At 35.1% G+C, this 10897-nt stretch overlaps 1 annotated feature.

Moving 5' to 3' along the window:
- Positions 9900–10069: an enhancer, noted in NCBI's record as "experimental_93689 CRE fragment used in MPRA reporter constructs". NCBI's record gives its function as "activates a minimal promoter by MPRAs in K562 erythroleukemia cells, with activity observed for both the introgressed and non-introgressed 6:66528107 variant alleles {active_cell/tissue: K562}" and the evidence as "EXISTENCE:reporter gene assay evidence [ECO:0000049][PMID:34662402]".

Consider the following 10897-nt stretch of genomic DNA (forward strand, 5'->3'; position numbering starts at 1 on the left):
TGTCACTCCCCTCTTTCAAGCTTCCACCATTGAGGAAAGAATCATTTCTTCATAGCTTCAAATAGATATTGTTGTAATTCTACTCAAAATTATCTAAAGTCTTCTTATTTCAGTGAACACAAAGGTAAAAATTTTAAATGGCCTGTAAGGACCTATATAATCAGGCTCCATTCCCTATATGAGCTGCTCATCATTTAGTCACCCCATTGCTCCTGCTGTCTAGCCAGAGGACTTCTCACTATTCATAAAACAGGGTGAACAGTTCCAAGCTCACCTTTGCACATGCATTCTCAATGAGGACAATTCTCATCCCTCTCACGTCGACACAACTCATTACTTTTCTTCTTTCAGCTCCTGCTCAATGTCTCCTAAGAATGAGACCTTCGAAGACCACCCTACAGAAAATAGTAAGCCACCCCCTGCATACGCTATACCCTTACATGCTATACAATTATCTAGCAGACTTATCACCATTTGAGTAACTATATATTTATTTCCTTTCTTTTTACCTCTGCCACACATAAATTGCATGAAGATAATTTTTGTATGTTTTGTTTACCCCTGTATGCCCAGTACTTAAAACTATGCTAGGCTAGGCATAGAGTAATTCTTCAATATTTATTTATTTATATTTGGTTTGTTTCTTTGTTTGAAATAAGACCTTGCTCTGTCATCTGAGCTGGTGTGCGGCAGCACAATCATAGCTCTACTGCAGCTGTGAACTCCTGGATTCAAGTGATCCTCCCACCTCAGCCTCCTGAGTAGCTAGGACTATAGGCATGTGCCACCACACTCGGCTGATTTTTAATTTTTTCTGCATAGATGAGTCTCACTATGTTGCTGAGGCTGGTCTCAAACTATTGACTCAAATGATCTTCCTGCCTCAGCCTCTCAAAGTGTTGGGATTATAGGCGTAAGCCACCACACCCAGCCTTGTCTGTTGAATAAATGAAAAATTGGAATAACAAATGAATGGTATTATCACCACTTACGTATTTGTCCGATTTTCCTTATTAAAATTCAACTCCAAGAGGGCAATTTCTTTTTTAGGTATTTTAACTAAACAAGCAGTGACTAATTTGTGTCTGTTAACTTTTGAATTCTTTTTGGTTTTGTTTTGTTTTGTTTTTTTGAGATGGAGTCTCACTCTGTAACCTAGCTGGAGTGCAGTGGCGTGATCTTGTCTCACTGCAATCTCTGCCACCTGGGTTCAAGCGATTCTCCTGCCTCAGCCTCCCGAGTAGCTGGGATTACAGGCACCTATCACCGTGCCTGGCTAATTTTTGTAGTTTTTAGTAGAGACGGGGTTTCTCTATCTTGGCCAGGCTGGTATTGAACTTCTGACCTCGTGATCCACCCGCCTCGGCCTTCTAAAGTGCTGGAATTACAGGGGTGAGCCACTGCGCCCGGCTGACATTTGAATTCTTGACAATAAAGGGCAAAAATTAAGGAATACAATGAAAATATAAATGGTTTGATTGCATTTCAAGATAGTTCAGATAAGAATAGCTCTAGTCTTAATAAATAGACTCAAGAGCACAATGATAAGAATGTGGAGGGTCAATATATCATAGTATAATCACTCAGTAATTAACAAGTACTTATTGAATGCTATGTTATGATAGACACTGTGACATACTCTAAGGATATAATGGGAAGGAAGACATTATCTGCATTCTCAAAGGGCTTGCAGTAAGCCGAGGATACAGAAAAGTAATCAGGTGGCTGTTATCGTCTGATAAGATGTCCTGTAGGAGGACACCTACTAGTCCAGTCATGGAGATAAAGGGAGTGAACCTGAAGGTCGTCATATAAATTATCATATAACACATTTTATGAATGAATAGTGTGGTTGCAGTTAAGCGTGAAATATTTTGAAATATATATATATATATTTTTTTCACACACTGAACTTTTACTATTGTTAAGTTAAAAATAAAACCATGGGGAGAAAGAATGCAGCAAAAGGAAAATGTGTTGTAAAACTATAAAGATAGAAGTGTAGTACTAGACTAAACAGAAATCAAAAACATAAAATTTAAACTAACAGTTGAGAGAAATTCCAAACGGATTTAAACAATATACTTCAGAAAGGGTCAGAAATTTTCTCTGAGAGTAGTAGTTCAGTTAAGGTAGAAAACAGGTGCCTTAGTTAAATTTCTCTATACAAAACAGTTAGACAACCTGATCCTCTTCCCAGCCTGAAAATTTGGACAATTTTCTCTCTTTCAACCTAATGTAACAGATTAATTTGGGACTCAGAAAATCTAGGTTCAGCAGAAGGAAGCATAGGTACTATATTAAAGATGGATTAAATAAAAGTCTATTTATTAAGTGGCATAATAATATTAATTATTTCTCCAATTAGACTCTAAGAACACTAGAAATTGGGCTTCTGCATCCTATGCAGGAATTTGTCAGGTTACTCTTTGGGAAAACTGACTAGGACCAAAGAAAAAGCTTATAATACTGAAATGACCCAGCCACAATAACCAAAAATAAAGCCATTGACTTCAGAAAGAGTTTCTTAAAAAAAAGAAAAAAAAGTTTTAGTTGTTGGATACTGTCATCCAAAAACTAAAATAAAACAAAGATATTTTAATTTTTGGATATTATCATCTGACAATAGTAAAAATAGCTTCAAAATTCAAATAAAATTATTTCTACATAGAATTATACCCAGATAAACTATTAATCATGGGTGAGATTTGGAGGACATTTCCAGGCATACAAATTATTAGAAACTAATATTCTATTGCATGACTGGAGGCTGTGGCTTGTGTTCCACCAAAACAAGGGAGACATTTGAATACAGAGGAAGATCTGTGATGCATGATATAGTGGATCCATCTCAGAAATTAGACAAAAGAAATTTTCTGGATAATTGAGGCTGACGAAAAGTCCACAGATGAGATCTGTGCCATGGTCTGGTAGATGACATAGCCAGGATTGGAGCAAGAAAACAAAGAGCTGCAGAAGGGACACTTTCAAGAAGAAGATAAAACTGTACATGATCTGATTTATTTGAGTGTATTTCAAGGAGATGCATTATTCATAGGTACATTGAAAAATAACCAAATGAATAAATAAAATGCTTGTTCATTTCGGGCAAAAAAAATCAAGATTTTATTTAAAAAATAAATAAAATAATATACTACATAACTGCTAGTGTTATTTACATAACTTTTTTTTTTTGAGATGGATTCTCGCTTTGTCACCCAGGCTGGAGTGCAATGGCACAATCTTGGCTCACTGAAGCCTCCTCCTCCCAGGTTCAAGCAATTCTCCTTCCTCAGCCTCCAGAGCAGCTGGGATTACAGGCACATGCCATCCCACCTGGCTAGTTTTTGTATTTTTAGTAGAGATGGGGTTTTACCGTGTTGGCCAGGCTGGTCTCGAACTGCTGACCTCAAGTGATCCACCTGCCTTGGCTTCCCAAAGTGCTGGGATTACAGGAGTGAGCCACTGCGCTCGGCCTATATAACTTTAATAATGTTAAGTACTGGATATTTTTAACCCAAAAATTAAATAGAAAGGGAAGGGCAAGTGAGGTGAGGGGAAGAAGAAGTTAGTGAGTGATATCTATAATGTAAAAATCAACAACAGTACACTTTAATTATTTTAAAATGTAATGAAAAAAATTTACACATAGCCAAATGATTTGAAAATAATTGTTGGTAGTGAATAGAAATAGGAGTGAGGAGGAGTGAGGCAGAGATTACTGCTTTCCATTATAAGGCAGGTTGAATTTTTTGTAGACTTATAACTTGTGTAACTATAAAAGCAAAATAAAAATAAATAGAAGCAGTTCATGGAAAAGACAGTGGTCAATGGTTCAATTCATCAACATATTGAGAAAAATCTATAAAGGTAAAAACATCATGAATGAGTTTGTAAGGCATGTTAAAAATGTTTTAAGCTTTATTGTAGATTGTATCAGTAGGTTGCCCATATTCACACAGCATTTTTCTCTACACACTAAATGGGTATACTGCAAAAACCTTTAACTCTTTTCTGAGGGGCGTTTGTTATTCTTTACTGATCTTAGGACAAAGTTATTCCATTGTCCAGGAAAATCTGAGTTCCTAAGGTTAATTTCCTCAGAAACAGCTATCAAATTGGATGAATGGAAATTTGATTAAAAGATAATCCAATCTGTTATCAAATCTGTTTGGTGTGCTACATTGATACCTTGCCCTGCCCTGGCCCCACCGCCAATAATGCAGATCTCCCAGAATACTCACACTTATGAGGTCCTGTCCTTAAATCTAGCCTGGCTTTGAAAATTTCCCTAACCAATAGGGGAAATTATATAAAGCTGAGGAATCATCCAATCGAGTCCAGTTGACTGAAAAATATCACAGAAGAAAATAAAGTTGTTTTAAGTCTCTACTTCTACATTTTTAATGGGTTATTACACAGTCATACATAATTAAAACACTAGGTGTTTTCACTGCTCAGTTGAAAAAACCTCCAAGGCATTTTCTACATTATCTTTCAGTTTCCTAGGAGAATGAAAGCTTCAGTTGCATGCAAAGGCAACAGACTTGTTAACAGATTCTTTTTTAGGTTACCTCCCTTCCTTGCCTTTATTCCCCAGTCTTCTGTATTTGTTTTCTGGGATCACCTCCCAAATGTAAATCCTTGTTTGAGGTTCTGCTTTTGAGATAAAACCAAGTAAGGCAAGAAGCGTTATTGAAATGATACATTATGACAAATTCACAGTTCGGTAATAGAAAATCACTTTCTATTTAGGAAAAAGGTTTGGAAGACATGTGTAGAAAAGGACATCAGGTAGAATGCTATTGTAGTAATCCAGATGAAAAAGGAAGATGTGCTGAGATGAAATAATAAGATGATGCAAGTAGACGATTATGAAAGATACTTCAGAGGTAGAATCCATAGTTATTGACAATAGTTTTGGATGTCAGTGATAAGTAAAAGCTGAGAAGACAAGGGTATCACTCTGCCTTAGGCAACTGAATTGTTGGGGAGAGGATAAAGGAGGAGGGCCAGATTTAGGGGGAAATTTCATATACTCAAAACTGAATGTGTTTAATAAAACTACCTATGGAACACCCAGCAGGCAGTTGATCATATGTGTTATACGGTACTGGGGTGTGATGTAGTGATCTGAATGAACTGAAAATAGTAAATTAAAGATCTCCAGGATTTAAGTGGTAATTGAGTAATAATTTTATATGAGATATCTCAGGGTAATAATAATGATAGGTGTTGTATGATAACTTCTAATTTACACAGTAATTTTACATGTACATTTTGGCTGTAAGGCACTGAATATAGCACTAGAAATGGAATTAGAACTTTTAGATTGTGTAGTAGGACATCAACAGGTATTCCTATTAGTTTATGGTGGCTCCTTACCCTAAGCCTGAATTACAATCTTTCTACTCATGCTTTGATTCAAAGTGTTAATCCTTTTTCAGTATTGCTAATTAAGTAAAGCCTACATTAGTCCATAGAAGAATATCAAAGTAACAAAGAATAAAAGTAGATAACAAAATGGTAATTTCAGATACACTACAGACACACCATAGTTATGAATTTGAAGACTAAACTTTAAATGTTACACTTATAGAAGTTTAGTGCTTTGGCTTAGGAATGCTGTTTCAGCTTGCAGGTAAACTAGAATTACCTAAGGAAATCACCTTCATTTGAAAGAGTGATTAAGGTCCATATTATGTCACTTTAAACTACGAATTGCTCTGAAAGAAGCCTCTACTGAGGATAAAAGTCCCCAGCAGAGGCTTGATTCCTGAACGGCCATCTTCCATTCCCCTGTTTCAAATCACCAAGTCAGACCACTTCTCTAGAGCAGGTCTAGCTGTCTCAAATCAGTACTGACATAGACTGATTCTGTAGATCATGACCTTAATTTTGTATAGGTACTTTACTTTGAAAGGAATAGACTCTGCCTGAATTTGACTGAGCAACTTCTTTTCATTGAATGGCTTTGAAAGCTACTTCTGTGTACAGCACATTTTCCACAATAGAAATTCAAGGATATTTTCTATCTCAATACTGTCAGCCCAAATGACTTCAAGCAGTTTCAATTCTGCCATCTGTAAGAGATGAATTTGTTCAATCAAGTTAAATCACCGTACCAGCTCAGTCGCTGCACCAGAAGGCATTAGAGTTTTACCTAACTGTTCTTATTCCAAGGTTAAATTAGTGTCTGAGGTTTCACATTTTGCCCCGAACCAGCAATTTATATATTTGTAATAATATATTCAGAAAATATTCATTAGCTAATTTAAGATGTCACATGGAGTGATTGTTTGAGCTTCTACTAAAAACATATTTTAAGATTCATTTTTAATAAAAAGAAACAATACTCTATTCATTATAAGTTGAATTTTAATCCATGAACTATGTATGTTAGGTATAGTGTATTCTACCTTCCTTACACATATAGAAGTTCACAGATGCACATATAGGCACATATACAGAAGGCTGAAGTCCGGCTCACCTTTAAAATTTCCTGATATTTTCAATCCTGCTCAACTTAGGTCAAGTCTCCTTTCACATCCAGTTTGCTTTATTTCTACATTTTCTTTCCTGGTCTACAACTACCATTACCTGTCTTGAACCCTCATCTAAATATAGGAGCTCATTTCTCTGTTCTCAGTTTATTTTTCTAAACATTTTCCTACAGGGGCTTCTTATAGTTATTTCTTACAGCACTTTTACTGATAATACAATAGCAGGACATGTTTTAAAATCACAGAATAGGATATTTAATACAGCTATTAGGAAATACTATTTTACACAGTAGATTTTTCAGTGTACAAAAGTAGCCATCTTGTTTAGTTAGAACCACCTCCATGATACATTGTCAAGGTATAGAATGAATATTCATGAGCTAAAATTTGAAAAAGAAAGAAGGGGAGGCATTATAAACAATTTTTCATGTAACCATATAGAATATCTGCAATACAACTACCACAAACCAGTAAGACGAGTTGTCAACTGGAAGAAAACTGTCTGGGAGCCAAGCATGAGAGGGAGAATTTTCATTGTGCAAAATAAAAACTTTGAAGCTATGTAAATGAATTATCTATCAAAAACATTAAAAATAAATAAATGGCTTCTGACCAAACAACTATAGCGATTTCTTTGATTGAATAAAGTGATCATGAAAGTCTGTTCATTAAGTAAAGGGGATACTGAACTTAAATAGGTTTGTAACTCAAGGATAAATATTAATAAAAAACGCAGGTATAGCCGAGCATGGTGCCTCACGCCTGTATTCCCAGCACTTTGGGAGGCTGAGGTAGGCAGATCACCTGAGGTCAGCAGTTCGAGACCAGCCTGGCCAACATGGTGAAACCCCGTCTCCACTAAAAAAACAAAAATTAGCCATGTGTGGTGGCACACTCCTGTAATCCCAGCTACTCAGGAGGCTGAGGCATGACAATGACTTGAACCCAGGAGGCAGAGGTTGCAGTGAGCCCAGATCATGCCATTGCACTCCAGCCTGGGCAATAGAGTGAAACTCCATCTCAGAAAAAGAAAAAAAAGAAAAGAAAAGAAAACGTAGGTATAAAGTCATAGATTGGATGCACAGCTTTCTTTATCTTGATTGCAGTTATACAATACAAAAACAAAATAAAACTTAAAAGTTGTTGCTCATTTATTCTAAATTTTTTTTCTAATTTCTGAATAGACTACAGATATAAGGTGTTCAATGAATTAAATATCGTTCCTGTCCATGTATGGCTTATAACCTAGTGGGGAAAATGATATTTAATTTTAAAAATAGAAAATCAAATTCATAATTATTAATGTTTAGTAAATTTTATATTAAAAATTGAATTTTCAGATAAATATAATAAAAGGGAAAGGTTAGAGAAGATCTCACTGCAAAAAATTACATTTGGTTTCATAGACTTAGGCAGACAAAGAAAGAGGGAAAGAGTGTTCAATAACTAATGAAAGAGACAAGAAACAAGCTTAGAAATGAAGATTAAAAGCAAATGATGCAGAACCTTGGAAAACAGGTTATAGATTTTCTATATTTTCTTAAATGCAAAAGAAATCCCAAACAGATTTTTGGAAGCCAGCTGTATTTGCATTTTACACTATCCTTCTGAGTGACACAAAGAGAAGCCCAGCTTTATTTAAAACATACAGTCATGTGCCACATAACAACATTTCAGTTAATGAGGACCTGCATAAAAGACAGTGGTTCCATAAGATTATGATGGAGACTCCCCTATAAAAGTGGACCATTTTATTTAATCTTTTATACCGTGTTTTTACCATATCTTTTCTATTTTTAGATATGCAAATACTTACATTTGCATTGCATTTGTCAACAGTGTTCAAGACAGTAACAGATTTGTAGCATAGGAGCAATAGGCTATAGTATCTAGCCTATACTGTCTAGCCTAGGTGTGTAGCAGGATATACCATCTAGGTTTGTTACACCCAATCTATGATGTTTGCACAATGATGAAACCACTTCACTACACATTTCTCAGAATACATCTCCATTGTTAAACCATGCATGACTGTTCGGTGATAATCTACAGAAGAGATTTACTAGGGTGCAGAGAGATTAAGAAAGTTAGATTTGAAATATATTGAGAGGTAAATTAATAGAATTTGGTGAAAGTTGATGGGTGTTAAAATTGAGTTAAGTGTCTTCAATAGTGACTCCTGGTTTTGTGGCTTGAGCAGTTGGGTACAAGCAGATGAACTGTTATCTGAACAGAAAAGACTAGAAGAGGAGCAACTTGGGGTACAGGGAGAGCTCACATTACGTGTAAGTTTCTAAATTTTTGCTATCAATTTGAGTGTTGTGATATCAAATAGGCAGCCTATGTTGAACACTAGGAATAAATCCAACAGCCATAAATGTTCCCTCTCTTTTTTTCCCCCGCCCAGAGGAGTAGTAGATCTTTCTTTCATTACTGTTTGGCATGGACCTCTGTCTTCATTCAGAGTTATCTGATATGAAAATGAGCTCAGTGCACAGAAGGAGAGATTCAGACTAGGAAAATTGCCTCCCATATGGCAGGATAGTGAATACTGTTAAGGAAAAAATGAGGAATATTATCACCTTTATCAGAAAATGACACACAAAATGTCTCAAATTCCCAATGTCAATTAACCTGTTTGTTCAATGTCATTAGCAATTATCATTTACTAAGCAATTCTCATTGTTCATTTGGAACATTTCTTTATTTAGCCCTTTAGAAGTCAATTTTGAATTGGCATGTCACTTTGCCCCAGTAGACACCATGGAAACTAGGATAGACTAGTTAAAAGAAGATTATTTTAAAATTACCTCTTTTTATAAAAGAAACTGACACAAAACTGCTGTTTTGCAAATTATTCTTAAAAAGTGGCCTTTTCATTTTAAATGACTTTAATACTTTTAAAAGATCGAATAAGAAACGGAAAATAATGGTTTAACATTAATATTTAGATTGATTTTAGCTTCAGATCAATTTGTTTTTATTTATGGCTAACTTTTTAAATGATAGATTCTTTAACTTGTACTTATTTTTTTCTACTTTATCCTCAGATTATTTGTGCTAAAAACTACTCAAAGAAACAAAAGACAGAAGTTTGTGTCACTGAGTCCTAAGCTAAATGGAAGAACTTTGATGTTACTGTTTTCATCTCTCATACTTCCAGAAGGGTAAAGCTGGCAGATCCACATTCAGAGACAATCCCCATCAACCATTATTACACAGCTATGATTAGGACCCCAACCACTCTCTAAGTAGAGATATGATTTGCTTTTATAAATGCTGGGTTTAGTTGTGAATTTAAACTTGTTATGAATAAATATTGACATAAATTCTACAAGGAAATTGTTCCTCAGGCTTGGCGGATGTACCTCTTAGGAATAATAACAAATATCCTGTTCCAGATCGAAACTATGCCAATCAGTCTGAAAATACTCAATTTGTCCAGTGATTTCCATGTGTCTCTAAGCATATATATTTTACAAATAACAACTTCTTTAATCTTGGACTTGTGTTGTTTGATATGTGTGTCTTCTTTATTAGAGGATGGAAATGGAAGTTATCAAGGCTAGGCATACCTGATCAGTTAGTTAGTTGCATGAGATGCTAGAACAGTGAAACATATTATTAATGAGGCTTTAAGAATCTACCACATTCTCTTTCTCCTAGTTAATATATGGTGATCTTGTGTGTCTCATTTTAGATGCCTCCTGTAATGAGAAGATATCTCTAACCCCACACTGAGTTGGATTATACATTTTCAGGGAGTACGGCTATTACAAAATTTGTTATTATTTATTATATTTACCTTTTTTGTTTTCCTGGTTTTTACTTTGGGTTCCTCATTAAATCTATTATAATTTTAATGCAAGAAGCACATCTTTTTTTCATTCAATCTATGGTACAATGTTGTGGGTGTACCAAAGCTTATTTTCTATTCCTCCTTTCTGGACACATACAAGATTATAGAGCTTATGTGGTAAAGTGTAGCCATGTGACTGTTTCTGGACTATAATATCTAAATGATACTTTTAATTTCTGAGCTGAATCAGCAAATAATCTTGTTTTACCGTGGAACGACCACCATGGGGTACGTGTGTGTGAGATAACAGAATGTTTATTAATCTGGGTTCCTTTGTAAATATGTAGAATGAGGCTACATATTTGTTAATCGCTGATATTTTGGGGTTAAAATTTATTAAGCACGGCTTATTTTTAGCTATTCTAAGTAATATAGTGTTCTAAGACGCTAGTAACATGCTTGGCCTATAAGGTATAAAAATATGAATTGAATGACTGAATACATGGAAATATTTTTCCTCCTCAGCTGAAACTCCAGATGTCATTAACTTTGAAAGTCAATATTCATGTTGAAAACACCTGTAAATCAAAGTACA

The sequence above is a fragment of the Homo sapiens genome, chromosome 6, assembly GCF_000001405.40.
Source record: "Homo sapiens chromosome 6, GRCh38.p14 Primary Assembly".
Taxonomy (NCBI): Eukaryota; Metazoa; Chordata; class Mammalia; order Primates; family Hominidae; genus Homo; species Homo sapiens.